The sequence below is a fragment of the Homo sapiens genome, chromosome 6 (genome assembly GCF_000001405.40).
Source record: "Homo sapiens chromosome 6, GRCh38.p14 Primary Assembly".
NCBI lineage: Eukaryota > Metazoa > Chordata > Mammalia > Primates > Hominidae > Homo > Homo sapiens.
Window position 1 is genome coordinate 121,542,253 of NC_000006.12, and position 17,853 is coordinate 121,560,105.

Here is a 17,853-nt window from a genome sequence, read left to right on the forward strand (position 1 = left end):
GCTAGTCTCAAACTCCTGGCTTCAAGTAATTCACCTGCCTCTACCTCTCAAAATGCTGGGATTACAGGTGTAAGCCACCATGCCCAGTCCATATGGTAAGGGTTGGCATGGTGAAATTAATTCACAGGAAAAAATGTACCCAGAAAAATGACTCTCATAATATGCTCTGAATATAATATATTTTCTCTTGGCCATATCTTCTTCTTCTTATTTATTTATTTTCTTTTGTTCAGTCTCCATAAAGACACTCAAAAATTGCCCATGCTGACTATATTTCAAGTCATCATGGTGGGGTATTGGGAAAAGTTTTCAATTAACAATAATCACACATTGGATAAACCTCATTGACTATGATACTGCCACTGTGCAGAGGTAGACCACATCTTTAGGAAAGACATTTACATGGAGAATTTGCATCGAGAAAATAATTGGCTTTATTTTCTGAAGGTTCTGACTCTGGGAATGCTTTATGTAACTGTTATGACACTTTGGAAGAAGATATTACTCAGTAGCAACAGATTATTTTAAATGTGACTATTATTAAGGTCTAGCTAAATGTGTGTATGACGGTGTGCATGTGTATTTTAAGTTTACCATGCTACCTTATCACAACCATAGTAAGCAGTGTCATGATCATAAGAAATTGACAATGGACAGTGATGCTCATGATAGCTGAAGGTATAAAACAGCAATGCCAGTTGAATATTTATTACTTTTTAAAAGGTGTTTAGAGTAAAAGAATCAGTAGTGGAAATAATTTATCAGGATAAAAATTCACTCTATTCATTTTATTTAGGTTAGATATTTTCTAATCACTTAAAAAGCATCTTAAATAAATTACTTTCACTTGGCATGAAATTTTTTTCCAGTCAGTGGTTTACATTTATTCTATTTTTGCTGTTTATTCCTTCTTGTATCTCATAATAATTTGTCTAAGAATACTTCTCTCTGAAATACATCCTTCAGATTTTTTTAAAGGTGGTGAGCTCTTTTTAGTTTTTGTCTCATATTTTGTCCTAATTCTGGTATGATATTTTATTTTTACTTTTTTTTTAAAATTTTAACATTTCTTTTAAAATTTCAATAGGTTTTCTCACCACCTGGAGGAACAGGTCATGTCTGGTTACATGAATAAGTTCTTCAGTGGTCATTTCTGAGATTTTGATGCATTCGTCACCCGGGCAGTGTACACTGTACCTGATGTGTAGTCTTTTATGCCCCGCCCCCTCCCACCCTTTCCTCTGAGTCCCCAAAGTCCATTGTATCATTCTTAGGACTTGATAAGAAATTTAAAGGCATTGAATGAATGAATTTAAAATGTATGCAACCTCGTCTTCACACGTTGGCAGTATTTCACGTTTTGGTAGTTTCTCTGGTCATTTTCCCCTGTGGCCGTCTTTAATAATGAGTCATACTCAGTGTAATAGAAATAATATCCATAAGCAAGAAAATCATTTATAGATTCTGCCAAATACATGAATTTACTGACACAGGAAAGAAAAATGGAACTATGATATGATTTTCACATCGGTAGACTATTTCCCCTAATAGCTCCTTGCTTTTAAAATTACTTATCTCCTTTCTATGTTGAGGAAAATGTGTCTTTGCTCATGGCTTTCCACTACTATGTAATGTCACATCCTGAGTTGACTCACACCCTGGCTAAACTTTCAATCTGATTTTTTTCTTTTTCCTCTCTCACTAGGGTATACTCTGACAGTTTTAACACAAGAATATCTTTGAGACAAATCTCAACATTGTTTTTTTTTTTTTTTTTTTTTTTGAGACAGAGTCTCCCTCTGTCACCCAGGCTGGAGTGCAGTGGTGTGATCTCTGCTCACTGCAACCTCTGCCTCCTGGGCTCAAGCGATTCTCCTGCCTCAGCCTCCTGAATAGCTGGGATTACGGGCACCTGCCACCAAGCCTGGCTCATTTTTGTATTTTTAGTAGAGACAGGGTTTCACCATGTTAGCCAGGCTGGTCTCAAACTCCTGACTTCAAATGATTCACCCACCTTGGCCTCCCAAAGTGCTGGGATTACAGGCATGAGCCACTGTGCCTGGCCAAATCTCAACTTTTCTGAATATTATTTTCTGTGCAACTCTAATCAATTGACTTTGAAAACTTAAAAAGATATTTCAGGAGAAATGAACAACTTTGTATTTTGGACATTATTTCTAAGGAAGTTTTGATTCAGTACATCTTACATCTGATTCTTTGACTTTTGTTTTAGGTCAGGTCAGATATAGCATATTTAGAAAAGATTGTTATATAACTTTACCTACTAAATTAACCACGTGAAAATTCCCTTTCTAAGAACAAGATAATGAGACCCTAAATCAAGTTCTGTGCAGAATTTAGGTACAGAAAATTAAATCATTTTTAGCACCCAGAGTTTTCTTTCAACACACTGGCACTTTCAACTGACTTCGCCAATTAAAAAAAATTAAATCAGTGTTTAAAAAATTGCTATTTGACACATCTGTGGTCTATTAAATAATGATTAATGTACAAAAAAACACAAACAAAATTTGTGGTTAAGTCATGACGGCACTAGTTATTTTAATCAGCATAAGTTTTCATACTTGTGAGAGCATAATGAGAATATTCTCATTAGCCTGGTATGTTATTACACTATTCTCAGAGGTACCTAGGGGTGGGTGGCCAGCAGATGATGTAACCTCTCAGGGAAAAGCAGTGCTCCTGGATATATATGGCAACCTCATTTTAGAACGTGTTCTTTTTCTAAGAAGTTTAAAGAGAGGATAACAGCAATTTCTTTCTCTGGATCATAGCATGCCACGTTAATACTCTTAAAGCATAAACGTATTTGAAGAATTAACTAAGCCACAGATCTTTTATGGATTAAAGCTTTATTGGCAATATTTTCTCTATAATTTAAATTTGTTTTTGATGGTACTTATGATAAGTTTAGCAATTAAAGAATCTTAATTGGTGTTTGGCTTAAATTTTTTTTTTGCAAAAGGGTTTCACTCTGTCACCCAAGCTGGAGTGCAATGGCTTGATCTTGGCTCACTGAAGTGTCTGCCTCCCAGGCTCAAGAGATCCTCTCACCTCAGTCTCCCAAATAGCTGGGACTATAAGCATGAGCCACCGTACCTGGCCAATTCTTAAATTTTATATAGAGACGGGCTTTTGCTATGTAGCCCAGGCTGGTCTCCAACTCCTGGGCTCAAGCAATCTTCCTACCTAGGCCTTCCAAAGTGCTGGGATTATAGTTGTGAGCCACCACCTCTGACCTGCTTGAATTTTTAAAAACACCAAAAGTCACTTATGGTCTAATAATAATAATAATTATTTTTTTTTTCAGATGGAGTCTCACTCTGTCACCCAGGATGGAGTGCAATGATGCGATCTCGGCTCACTGCAACCTCTGCCTCCCAGGTTCGTGCGATTCTCCTGCCTCAGCCTGCCAAATAGATGGGACTACAGGTGGGCGCCACCACGCCCAGCTAATTTTTGTATTTTTAGTGGAGACGGGGTTTCACCATGTTGGCCAGGGTGGTCTCGATCTCCTGACCTCGTGATCTGCCCGCTTCAGCCTCCCAAAGTGCTGGAATTACAGGCATGAGCCATCGTGCCCGGCCTGGTCTAATAATTCTATCCATTTCAGACTGAATTTACACCATCAAATCTGCCCATATATATTTGTGTGTGTTCTTAGCCATGATTCAATAAGCACCTACCAAGTTTTCATGCACTATACTTCCTGTTGGTGGTCCAAATATAAATAAAAGCTGGGCCTGCTCTCAGGGACCCTTACAGTCTAGATGAGGGAGAGACCTTCGTCGACTCTGTGGTAATAGCCTTTGTTAAATTCTATAGGAGGATAAGGTACTATGGGAACACGTAGGTAAAGTGGAGAGAGATGGTATCAAGGATTTACGAAGGGAGTAAAACTGCCGTGAGACTACAATGGCTGAACAAAAGTATCAAAAAGAGCCACTTCCGGCTCTTTTTGTTTTAGTTTTATTTTTTAAAATTTTGAAATATCAATTTGAAAACTGCTTCTAGATTCAGAAGAAGACCAATCCCACAAGTTGAGACTTGTGATTAAATAAATGTAAGGAATGCTGCATTCTCCACTTCCTTCTTAGAGATTCACTTGGCACATTAACAGATTAAAGGCCCGGAAAAACTGCATTAAATAAACCTGTTAATATTAACATGCTGTTTTTTTTAATGTACACGACTATGGAATATCCCTATTACAATCTCTCTTCTGCAGCATAATTTAGGAAAAGAATCAGTTTTCTTAAAGACAAGACAGTTACGAGGCATAGGGATAAGATAGAGAGAAATTTGAGGCTGGGGCCCATATAGAGAGATATAGATAAGATAGGATTTCATTAATAACAAATGTCTATTTTGAAATTAATATTTATTTTAAAATTATGGAATTTTTTGATGCCCTTGTGAAACGGGACAGGTTCCCTTGCCCTCTGGCACGGTGTGCGAAGGGGGTGTCGCTTGCTTCTTCAGTGCGCCACTGCTCAAACCTCCAGAGGAGCACACAGACGGGCAGGCTGCGGGGCTCTGACCCCACGGCAGTGTCTGGGGGTGAATGTTTACAGCTGAAGCCCCAGTGGGTGTGTGTTACAGTGTGCTCTTTTAGTTTTGCTCTTTTAGTTCGGCCATCTATAGGTGGCTTATGTTAGTCAGCTCAATTAGACCCCACCTTATCCCAAGGACAGAGGGCTTTCTGTATCCTGAGGTTCTTGCCTTGGTGTACCATAAGAATTGGATTCCACGTGGGCTTGGAGAATGAGTGCAAGGTTTAATTGAGTGGAAGTAGCTCTCAGCAGATGGGGGAGCCTGAAGAGAAATGGTTTTCCCCTGGAGTCGGGCCGCTTGGTGGCCAGGGGTCTCCTTCAGCGGCCCCAGCCAAACTCCACATCATTCTGCTGGTCAGTGGCCTGCATGCCGGTGCCTGTCGGTGATTTCCTCTCAAAGTCCAGCCACCTGTGTGTTCCTCCTCCTGTGCGTGCTCCTCCACCAATGTGTTCCTCTCAACATCCAGCCCCTTCTGTGTCTGCCTTGCTAGGGTCTCCGGTTTTTATAGGCACAGGATGGGGAGTGTGGCAGGCCAGGGTGGTCTTTGGAAATGCAACATTTGGGCTGGAAATCCCTGTCCGCACCTAGGTCTGTGGAGGTGGAGCCCTAGCTAGGGACCACACCCTCCTCTACCCTGCACTTCCCCTGTCCCTATCATTTAAAGGGACCTTCCGTTCTTTTCCCTTCCCTTCCCAGCATCTCCCTTCCATATCACTTGCTGTAAACATTTATGCAGAAAATTAAATTTTCATTTAATTTGAACTAGCAGAATACAGTTAATAACAATGTATTCTTGAAAGCTGCTAAGAGAATAGATTTAAAGTGTTCTCACTATAAAAAGATAAGTATGTGAAATAATGTTTATGTTAACAAGCTCAAATTAGCCATCCCACAATGTATATGTATTTAAAGACAACGTGCTGTACATCATAAATATATACAATTTTAATTTGTCAATTTAAAAAATTGCTTGCAAAAAAAGTTGAACCAGGAAATTCAACTTTTGTGAAAGTTTTTTGTGGTGGCTCACACCTGTAATCCCAGTACTTTGGGAGGCTAAGGTGGGAGGATTGCTTGATCCCAGAAGTTCAAAGCCAGCCTGGGCAACATGCTGAGACCCTGTCTCTAAGAATTTATTTTTGTAAATAAAGACTGTCATAAGAGATTCTTTAAATGGTATGTGCTGATTCTCTTCACTATGTGCAGTTTGAAAGAACTATGCAATCTCTTTTTTAAAGATCCTGGCAAAATACAGCCATGTTAGTTATATTTACTGCTGTCAGTTTTTTAGACAGTTATAGCTGTGAATAACATCAGTGGACAAAATCCATAAGATTTTGTCTTATGGATTAAGCTGTCTGTGGCTGGAAATTCTACAGTTTTTGAAAGCTAGAATTACTTGGGAGTGGCCATTCAAATTTGTCACGAAGGAGATAATAACCTCACTCTTTCCCCTTAAAATCTGACCCACACAAAATGCCAAAACGCTTATAATATGTTCAAATGAAGTCTGATTTTGTAACAGTTTCTAAAATTGGAAAAGGGATGGCATGTTGCAAAATTTACATAAACCATCTCATTCTCGCTGAGATGAAACATTTGTAGTAAACACTAAGAACTCTGTCATTCTCATGCTTTCATTTTACAAGGATTTGACACAGATTTTGGAGTAACATATTGTAGATACTCAGAGAGATCTCCTTTCCTTTAGCTTAGAGAAATATTTTTTCATGTTCCTCAAAACTTTGAATTTGCAGGTGACTGCAACATCAAGTCCACATTCCTCTCCAAAACACAGAAAATATTTTTATATGGAACACTAACACTAAAAATAGGAAAGCTTTTTTGGCTTGTAACTACAGAAAATTGTAACATTTAAGCAGAGGAGAGGAAGTTTAATTGCTATGTTGTTAGCTAAAGTCTTACTTTGCCTCTATAAATATGTTATGTTTAACCTATAAGGATCTGTTTTTACATTTCTTTAAGTGAATGAAAAATATGGTGCTATTTTTTTCTCATTTTGCATCATTTGACATTAAACATTTCTTTTTTACGTTATTCATCATCTGTTTCAGTTCTTAGCTTTCTCAAGAAGGAGTCTCTCTGTTTTTGTTTTTTTTTGTTTGTTTGTTTTGTTTTTTTTGAGATGGGGTTTTACTCTTTCTCCCGGGCTGGAGTACAGTGGCTTGATCAAGGTTCACTTCAGCCTTGACCTCCTGGGCTCAAGTGATCCTCCCACTTCAGCCTCCGAAGTAGCTTGGACCACAGGTATGCACCATCATACCCGGCTAATTTTTCTGTTTTTTGTAGAGACAAGGTTTCACCATGTTGCCCAGGCTGGGAGTTTCTCTATTCTTTACATGTCCTTTAGTTATTGATGTATAGTTAATTTCTTACCAAGTTTTCTTTTTATATACTTTTTCCATTTCTTATATTGTGATTATACAAGGTTGTGATGAGAAATTTGTTTTATCATAGCTTTGGGCATATTTATCCCCCTTCTTCATTTCCTAACCAATTAGAATGGATTCCTCTTTCTCTGTAGAATAACTACTTGCAGATTGTTAATAAAGATTTCTAATAGTCTCAGGAATATTGCATGCCCATAAATTCTGTCTTTAATGAATACCACTTTTCACACTCCATAAGAATTCTTGGAGGTAATAGTCAGACTAAAAACATCTCTACATGTAATTTTTTAAATCCTTCAACAAGAAGTAGCCAGGTGAAGAACACATTCTTTATAGGGGGCCTTCCCTTTATGCAGGGAGCACAGATCTAAAATGGGTTAGTATTGGAGAAATACACATTTGTCCCTTGAGGCCATTTGAAAAATAGCTGTAGATGGATGTAAAATTTGGATATGAGGAAATAAAAAGTTAGCTAAAATAGTTGATTTTGGAAGTCAGAACAACATACATATTTGGGTCAATAAAATGCTGCACTGAGCAAAGCTCTACCTCCTAACTATCTAATATCTATGTGGGAGGGAAAATTTGGACTCTGCAGAAAACAAGCCCAACAAGAATTAAAGAGCCAAATATTTAAATACTGTGTGATTCATTTTCTCTGAGTAACCCCACTAGGCTGTGAACGTGTCTTAATGCACACATACCAACTGAAGTCTTCGTGGGTCAGCTTGCCTTAGACAAAGCTGACTCAGGGAAGCATAAGCAGCAGCGTTGAGATAGATTCTAACTCATTTGTTTCTTCATACACTAGGGACTATTATAACATGTTAGTAAAAAAATTAACAGCCATAATAAAACAAAGAAATAAATGGTCAGTATGCCAACAATTTAAGCAGCTCCTCATTTGTCGATATTGCAAACAACATCAAAGTGCTGTTTCATAAAAACGTTTTTCAGAAATTTTACTGATACTGTTTTGATGTAAAACAATCTTTCATGCTTACTAAAACTTAATTTAAGCCATTTTAGAAGCCAGCATTTTAATGAAAAACAGTCTTTTGAATAATTTCATGTCAAATCAATGATTCCATAATTTTTAATGCAGACTTCTTTTTATGTTAGATTGCTTAGGAACCAAATAAGATATGTTTTGGGGAACTTCATATATAGAAGAATAGTGGCATTTGGGTCAAGTGTGATGGCTCACACCTCTAATCCCAACACTTTGGGAGGCCAAGGCAGGTAGATCGCTTTAGCCCAGGAGTTTGAGACCAGCCTAGGCAACATGACAAAACACCATCTCTACAAAAAATAAAATAAATAAAAATTAGCCAGTGGCATGTGCCTGTACTCCCAGCTACTTTGGAAGCTAAGGTGGAAGGATGACTTGAGCTTGGGAGGTCTAGGCTGCAGTGAGCCATGATCATACCAATGCACTCCAGCCTGGGTGACAGAGTGAGACTGTCTCAAGGAAAATAAAAAAAGAATAGTGACATTCCACATGTCTGATAAACTCTAACTCTGTTTATTTTCATAAAGAATTAAAAATACTTTTGGCCAGGCACTGAGGCTCATGCCTGTAACTTCAACTTTTTGGAGGCTAACGCAGGAGATTTGTTCGAGCCCAGGAGTTCAAGACAAGCCTAGGCAACATAGCAAGACCCTGTCTCTACAAAAACTTAAAAAATTAGCCAGGCAGGGTGGTGTGTACCTGTAGTCCTAGCTACTTGGGAGGTGGCGGTGGGAGGATCACTTGAGCCTGGGAGGCTGAGGCTGCAGTGAGTCATGGTCACACCACTGCACTTCAGCCTGGGTGACAGACAGAGCAAGACCCTGTCTCAAAAAAAAAAAAAAATTCTATATTTTTGGCATGCTAAATGATATGGTTTGGTTTGTCTCTGTGTTCCTACCCAAATCTCATCTCGAATTGTAATCCCCATAATCCCTAAGTCTTGAGAGAGAAACCAAGTGGGAGGTGATTGGATCATGGGTGTGGATTCCCTCATGCTGTTCTCATGCTAGTGAGTTCTCACGAGATCTGATGGTTTTATAAGACAGTTTTCCCTGCTCTTGCTCATTCTTCTCTTTCCTGCCGCCTTGTGAAGAAGGTACTTGCTTCTCCTTCCGCCATGATTGTAAGTTTCCTGAGGCCTCCCAACCATGTGGAAATGTGAGTCAATTAAACCTTTTTCCTTTATAAGTTACTCAGTTTCAGGTAGTATTTTTACAGCAGTGTAAGGACAGACTAATAACGCTAATCAAAAAATAATCAAGGGAAATCCAAATCAAAGATTTGTTTTAATCCCTATTACCTCAGTGATTATAGACATAGTTCAATTATTTTTGCATTTTCTTCTCTATTCACCTACTCTGATCGTGTTTTTAAAAATACATGTGTAAAAATATATTAAAAAATACATCTACTTTATTAGCACATATAAGCCATTACTAATTATATTTTCTCCTTTTATTCATTAGAGTATTGATGTCCTTTTAGTCATGCTTAAAACTCATTTGCTAATAAATTCTTCAAAAACAGCCCATGGGAATAGCATTCTCTTACTTCTTGCATGCTGTTAACAGCCTGTAGGCATCTTTCACACATAGAAGTCAGTTTTGTAGAGTTTAACATTTTTGACTCACATTTGCTTTCTCTGAATATATTTTGTTTTAAAATTATTTTATTTTTTATTTTTATATTTTTTTTGAGATGGAGTCTGGCTCTGTCACCCAGGCTGGAGTGCAATGGCGCGATCTTGGTGCACTGCATCCTCTGCCTCCCGGGTTCAAGCGATTCTCTTGCCTCAGCCTCCTGAGTAGCTGGGACTACAGGTGCATGCCACCACGCCCAGCTAATTTTTGTATTTTTAGTAGAGATGGGGTTTCACCATTTTGTCCAGGATGGTTTTGATCTCTTGACCTTGTGATCTGCCTGCCTCAGCCTCCCAAAGTGCTGGGATTACAGGCATGAGGCACTGCACTTGGCCTATTTTTATTTTTATTGTTAAGAGATGGGGCTGCTATGCTTCCCAGGCTGGTCTCAAACTCCAGGCCTCAAGTGATCTTCTTTCCTTGGCTTCCCAAAGTGCTGGAATTACAGATGTGAGCCACCACACCTGGCCCTGTGAATATCTTAAATACTTATTCTACTTTCTTCCAGCATTAAAATCTGCTGAGAAGTCTGTTGAGTCTAATTTTTGTTCCTTTATAAGTTACTTGTTACTTTTGCCCAGATACCCAAAGGTTTTTCAAGTCCAGTAATTTTACTAGAATATGTCTTAGTATTGATTATTCTAATCTAGATAGATATTCTTGGATATAAGATATGCTCTTTAAATTCAATTTTTTGAAAGTTTTTTTTATAATTTTCTTTTTTTTCCTTCTCTCACTTTGGTTTTCTTTTCTAGAGACTCCTGTTGACTGATATATCAGATTTTTTTCCTCAATCTTCAATGTTTGTCCCCTTCTCTTAAGTCTATTTTCCTTCATTTATTTTTAATATTTCACTCATTTTTAAACTTCTATTTCTTTTAAGGTATTTTTTGTTGTATTCACTTGTTTTTGTGCTGTTTTAGTTTAGCCTTCATTTCCAAAAATATTTTTAAGGGTTTACAACCAGCAACAATTATTTCTGAAAATATTTTTAAATTTCTAATTTTAAAAAAATTCTGTCAAGTTATTTCTGATTTTTCTAATTTAAGTAAGAATTTTGTTATTTCAAGTCATTATTTTCTTAATGTCTTTAGATTGTTTTTAAATAAGAAGTTATAGTTTTGATATATTTTGTGGGCATTTTTTTTGGGTGCTTTCATTTTCTGTAGACATATTATTCTGCTTCTTCTTCTTTTGGTTAGTTTTTTAGGGAATTTCACCTTGATTGCTGTAGTGGGTTGACTAGTGTCTCCCCAAAATTCATGTCTGTCCAGAACCTTGGAAATAAGATTCTAAATAAGTTTCTAAATTTGGAGATTTAACTAGGTTGTGATTAGTAAAATACCTCAATATGAAATTATCCTGGGTTTAGGGTAGGTTCTAAATCCAGTGATTGGTATCCTTATAAGAAGAGGAGAAGACAAAGAGAAAAACACAAAAAGCAGAAAGCAATGCAAAGATGGAGGCAGAGATTGGAGTGATGTGTCTACTACCACAAGAAACAATAAGGATTGCCCACAACCACCTAAAGCTAGGAGAAAGGCATTAGATGGATTCTGTCTCACAGCCTGTAAGAAGGAACCAGCCCTGCTGACATTTTGATTTTGGATTTCTGGTCTTCCGAACTGTCAGCCATCAATTTGTGGTACTATCTCACAGAAGCCCTAGGAAGTTAACACAGTCCTTTCCTGTTGTCCCTTTTTATGTGAAATTCATTTTCCTGGAATTTCAGGAGACTTGGTTCAGATGGCTTTTCTTTTTCTTTTAGAGACAGAATCTCACTGTGTCACCCAAGCTGGAGTGCAGTGGTGCAATCATGGCCATCCTCCTGCCTTGACTTTCCAATGTGTTGAGATTACAGGCGTGAGCCACTGCCCCCGGCTCTGAGGTGACTTTTCTAACTTCACAGAGCTCTTGCTCCTGTTGCGTGTATGTGTTCAATAGTATGGCAACTTGATTTCTGAGATTTCCCACCTCTGTGGCCCTACTTTTATTTCGATCTTCCCTTTCCTTCATATTCTGTTTAGTTTTGATTTTTGGGTCCCTGTCCTAGAATGAGGCCCTGGCTGCCCAGTGTTGAGAGTTCATGGAGGTAGCCTGCTTTGGCCTCTTCAGGACTCTATATGGACCTCTTGCACCCACTTGCTACCAGATTGGGCAAAATTTCAAGTTTTAGCTGCTGGTCACACATGGGCACGTCACATTTTCAAATGAATACCTATTGACTATTTTGGTTATTTTCTTTCTCCCTCACAGAGGCTGTTGTTTTTTTGTCCATACCCTCTTATTCTAGAGTTTGTGGGAAACCTTGTCATAATGTTTTGTATTAAATGTTGTCTGTGGGTTTTTGGTTTTGCTATATAATTGCCCTGTCTGTTTTTGAAAGAGGAGATTCAGGAACATTAAAAAATAAAAAAATTATATAGTCAATCACTGCCATCAATGTCCAAGGATTCCTTATGTCTAAATTTAACTGTAAACAGTTCCAGTTTGCACTATGGTGCTTTCCATTTAGCTAACATACATCTCCATGTATCATTTAATCATTGAATAATATCACTCCCTACCCTGGATACTTTCCTGAATTGAAGCAAGTGTGTTTTAGTATTTTTTGAAAAAAGTGTGGTGCTGCATGTATGTAGTCCCAGCTACTTGGGAGGCTGAGGCAGGAGGATTGTTTGAGGCCAGGAATTCAAGGCTGCAGTGTACTACTATTGCACTTGTGAATAGCCACTGGACTTCAGCCTGGGCAGTATAGTGAGACCTTGTCTCTAAAAAACCAAACAAGCAAAAAAACACAAAAATGAACTAAAACAAACAATAAAAGAGTAGTTGGTAACTTGAAATATTTAAAATATACTTAAAAGTTGGGTTTGGGATTTTAAATGGCTCATATAATCCCTGACTATTGTTGTACTTGATAGGAACATCTGCTATTTCTTTCTTCCCTCCCTTATTATTTTTAAATACAATTTTTGCTTTTTACCTGAATAGACATTTCTATAAAGAAAACATAAAAATGGACAAAAGATATGTGAAAAGGTGCTAAATATCATTAATTATCTGAGAACAACAAATCAAAACCACTCTGAGATACCATCTCATATCTGTTAGTATGGCTATTATCAAAATTCAGAAGATAAATGTTGATGAGGCTGTGGAGAAAAGGAAGCCCTTGGACAATGCTGATGGAAATGTAGACTGGTATAGCCATTATGGAAAGCAGTTTGGAGGTTTCTAAAGAAATTAAAAATGAAACTACTATATGACCCAGCAATCCTTCTGGGCATGTACCTAATGGAAAAGAAATCACCACCTTGTGAAGATACCTGCACTCCTACATTCATTGCAGCATTATTCACAATAGCCAAGATACAGAAACAACTCAAGTGTCTGTTGATGAATGAATAGATAAAGAAACTATGGTATATTTATGCAATATTATTCATCTTTAAAAAAGGAGACTCTTGCTGGGCATAGTGGCTCATGCCTGTAATTCCAGCACATTGGGAGGCCAAGGTGGGCAGATGACTTGAGCTCAGGAGCTGGAGACCAGGTTGGGCAATATGGCGAAAACTTGTCTCTACAAAAAATGCAAAAAAAAAAAAAAATTAGCTGGGCATGGGGTTGCGTGCCTATATAGTCCCAGCTCCTCGAGAGGCTGAAGTGGGAGGATCGCTTGAGCCTAGGGGGCTGAGGTTGCAGTGAGCCAAAGTCACGCCACTACATTCCAGCCTGGGTTACAGAGTGAGACTCTGTCTCAAAAAAATAGAATGGAATAGAATGGAATAGAATAAAATAAAATAAAATAAAATAAAATAAAATAAAATAAAATAAAATAAAATAAAATAAAATAGCAAAATAAAATAAATAAGGAGACCCTGCTATTTGCACAACATGGATCAACCTGGAGGACATCAAGCTAAGTGAAATAAGCCAGACACAAAAAAATATTGCATGATCTCATTTATATGTGCAATCTGAAAAAAAAGTCATTTATACAGAGATAAAAAATTAAACAATGGTTACAAGGTTGGTGCAGGAGGCAGAGGAGGGGAGGAAATGGGGAGATGTAGGTCAGAGGATACAAACTACTAGCAGGTATGTAGAATGAGCAAGACTAGAGGTCTCATGTACAACATGGAGACTATAGCTAATAAAATTGTACTGTATTTGGGATTCTTTTTTTTTTTTTTTTTTTTTTGAGATGGAGTCTTGTTCTTGTCACCCAGGCTGGAGTGCAGTGGTGTGATCTCAGCTCACTGCAATCTCTGCCTCCCAGGTTCAAGCAATTCTCCTGCCTCAGCCTCCTGAGTAGCTGGGATTATAGGCACCTGCCACCACTCCCGGCTAATTTTTGTAGTTTTAGTAGAGACGAGGTTTCACCATGTTGGCCACGATGGTCTCAAACTCCTGACCTCAGGTGATCCACCCATCTCAGCCTCCCAAAGTGTTGGGATTCTTGTTAAATGAGTAGATTTTAGATGCTCTTGCCACAAAAACAAGAACAAAGGTAAGTATGTAAAATGATAGATATGTTAATTTGCTCTACTATAGTAGCCATTTTACTATCTCTATGCATCCTATAACATTATGTTGTATACTTTAAATATACACAATAACATTTATTTTTTAAAAAGCATTGTTTCCTTTGTTCATAAATGGCAGATAAAAATATATTTTTCCTTTTATACATGCAGATTGTTTGAAAATTTATAGTTAAACATAAAGCTGTTTAAACACTAGTCTACTTCTGTCCCTAATCTCCATTTTCTTGATTCCAGAAAAAATAATTTTCATTTCTTATAATAGCCGATTCTTTGTCTATTGACCTCATATCACTAAATTACATTTTTATATTGCTCCTTCCTATTTTGTTTTTAGGCATTATTTCCTGACTTTCAGACAAGACTTTAGCTGTTTTTTTAATCACCTGGTGGCCTTCCTCATCCCAAGCCTCATACTTGCACTCTTCCTGTTTCCTCACCTCCCTATTTAGTTATATGATACTTTTGCTTCAATAAAAATATCTTGTTAGATCACTATCTGCATTGTTAGGACAATTTAAATGTTACTCACAACTTCCTCCACTGAGTTAATAATAGTCTTGTCATTTGTTTACTTGGTTTTCCATGTCCTTATCAATTTACACTGATTCTTTTATTTTATTTTTATTTTTATTTATTTATTTAGATAGGTGATAGATAGAAAGATTAGATAGATAGATAGATAGATAGATAGATAGATAGATAGAAAGAAAGAAAGAAAGAAAGAAAGAAAGAAACAGGGTCTCACTATGTTGCCCAGGCTGGTTTTGAACTCCTGGGTTTAAGCAATCCTCCTGCTCCAACCTCTCAAAATGCTCGGATTACAGATGTGAGCCACTGCACTTGGCCAAATTTAAACCAAGAGTCTATCGGTTGTCAAATGTGTTTAGATTCATGAGATCATACATTGCCCTCATCTTGGAGGCCTCTAGCCTGAAGCCCTTTTGGCTCCTCTGATTGTCATTGGCTGCCCTATGTATCTGGTACACAGCTATAGATCTGGGATATCCCATCACCATTCATTTGGAAATTCCCTTCTCACTTCTGAATCAGATCTTTTATTTCTTGCATCCAGCCTTTCTTATTTATTTATTTATTTATTTATTTATATTTTTTTGAGACTGGGTCTCACTCTATTGCCCAGACTGGAGTGAAATACTCTATTTCCTGATTTGTCTCTCTTCCAAGTTGTTTCTCTTGCTTTCTCTCTTCTCTCTGCATTTCTCAGATGTCTTGCAAGCCCTGGTGGACTGCTTTTGATTGAGAATGGAGATTAAAAAGCTATATGGTGGCTCTGAGTTCAAAGGTGGGTCTTAACTTTGAGATTCACAGACAGGATTACTTAATTGAGTAATTTTTCAGAGTCTTTAAGTCTTTTTCTCTTCTAAAATCTGTTGGAACATACAGTGGTGATAGTGGTGGTGATATGTCAACATTCATCACTTAGCAGGTTTATGAATACTTACCCTTCCTTTTTTCTTTTCTTTTTTTTTGGAGATGGAGTCTTGCTCTGTCACCCAGGCTGGAGTGCAGTGGCATGATCTCGGCTCACTGCAAGCTCCGCCTCCCGGGTTCAAGCAATTCTTGTGCCTCAGCCTCCCGGGTAGCTGGGACTACAGACCCACGCCCCTGCGCCTGGATATTTTTTTGTATTTTAGTAGAGACGGGGTTTCACCATGTTGCCCAGGCTGGTCTCAAATTCCTGACCTCAGGCAATTCGCCAGCCTTGGCCTCCCAAAGTGCTAGGATTACAGGCGTGAGCCACTGTGCCCCGCCTTATCCTCCCATTTTTGTTTGAACAGTACCCTTGTCCTCAGCTGGGCTTTCTGTACTACAGTTAAGGTAGCTTCTGTTTTAGCCTTTCTTGAGAATAAACCTTCAATCTCCTGTTAGAGAGTGAGAGGACTAGCCCCCAAGGAACAGGGGATAGAGAAAAAGATCTAGAAATCTAGCTTTTCAAACTCCTTTCACATATTTTGCCTTGTAGTTCTGTCCCCTCTATTCCCCCTTTCCAGAGATAAAGTCTAATTCCTGAGCTAAATGGAAATTCTCATTTTTTTCTCCTCCATTGTGAGGTTATGCCTTAAAAAAAATCCTTTCATCATAGTTTTTGTTTGTTTGTTTTTTTGCTTGTTTTTGAGACAGGGTCTTGCCCTGTCACCCAGACTAGAATAGAGTGGAGTGATCTCGGCTCACTGCAACCTCCAACTCCTGGGTTCAAGCAATTCTCCTGCCTCAGCCTCCTAAGTAGATGGGACTACGGGCATGTGCCACCACACCCAGCTAATTTTTGTAGTTTTAGTAGAGATGGGGTTTCACCATATTGTCCAAGCTGGTCTTGAACTCCTGGCCTCAAGTGATTCACCCTCCTCGGCCTCCCAAAGTGCTGACATTACAGGCATGAGCCACTGTGCCCAGCCCTTTCATGATAGTTTTAATGGAGATTCAGGAGTGAGAAAAATTAGACATAGCTCCACTAAACTCCCACCCAAATGGTGGCTCTGAAGTTTTAAGATGTATTTTGAATCCATTAATTCATAATACTTTGTATTGGCATTGTAAGATTTCACTTTCTTGAAGTAAAGTGATTTCTGTCTCTTCTATGAAAATCTTCCTAAAGAAAATTCTGGGTCTTGTTAGAAATTTGTATTTTTCTGCTCTCAGCAAGTTATACTGCATATTGCACTTAATACTAAAAAAGGATAAAATACAAACTTTTATTATATAAATGTTGAGTTTTTTCTCTTTACTCTTGGTGATTTGCACATTCATTCACCTTTCTTTCCATCTACATTAGTGGTTCTACCCAAGGGTGATTGTATCCTCTCGGGTACATTTGGTGATATCTGGGGACATTTCTGGTACATTTTTTTGTTGTCGTAACAGAGAGCTGCTACTGGCATCTGTCGGATAGGGACCAGGCATCCTGTAAAATCTGCCAAATTTCACAAGATAGCACTCTCTGGCTAAAAATTGTCTGACCCAAAATGTGAATAGCGCTGAGGTTAAGAAACTGCTTTCAACTGCATTCTCAACAAAGGTGATAATCTCCCCAAGGAGGCAAAAAGTGTTTCTTCAGGTTGGATGGTAGTGGGGGGCATTATTAACTACGATGGTTTGTGACCCTTCAAGGGGTCACAGTGTAAAAACAGATACATAATGTAACTGGTATCAAAATTTCATGGCAGAGACAACTACGGGGAAAAAAACCACTAAAATTTTTTTTAGGGGAGAAATAGTGAAATAAGGCCAAGAAACACTGCTTCAAACTGAAGAAGGTTTTGTTATTATTACCAGACAGGTTTGGCAGAACTGTGTTTGAGGTCCAGAATCAAGAGGAAGCTGGGAAGAAGAGGAGAACAATGAAATAAAGATTTAAGACTAGTGGAAGAGATTTTCTATATTATTTTGGAAAAGAGAGATACTGAAGAAAATGCACGGAGGTAAATGGGGCAAAAAAAGAATATAACGTGTATTATTCTAAAGAAAATTATGTGCCCTTTTCATGGTATTTGGGAAATTAAAATAAATACCTTGAATTATTTCCTTCCTTCCTTCCTTCCTTCCTTCCTTCCTTCCTTCCTTCCTTCCTTCCTTCCCTTCCTTCCTTCCTTCCCTTCCTTTCCTTTCTTCCTTCCCTTTCTTCCTTTCTTTCCTTCTTTCCTTCC

The 17,853-nt window shown here is 38.0% G+C and overlaps 1 pseudogene, besides 1 other annotated feature; it reads right to left on the minus strand.

Moving 5' to 3' along the window:
- On the minus strand, positions 234-374 carry RNU4-76P (RNA, U4 small nuclear 76, pseudogene; annotated as a pseudogene).
- Positions 3,573-3,742: an enhancer, noted in NCBI's record as "experimental_89523 CRE fragment used in MPRA reporter constructs". NCBI's record gives its function as "activates a minimal promoter by MPRAs in K562 erythroleukemia cells, with activity observed for the introgressed 6:121867056 variant allele {active_cell/tissue: K562}" and the evidence as "EXISTENCE:reporter gene assay evidence [ECO:0000049][PMID:34662402]".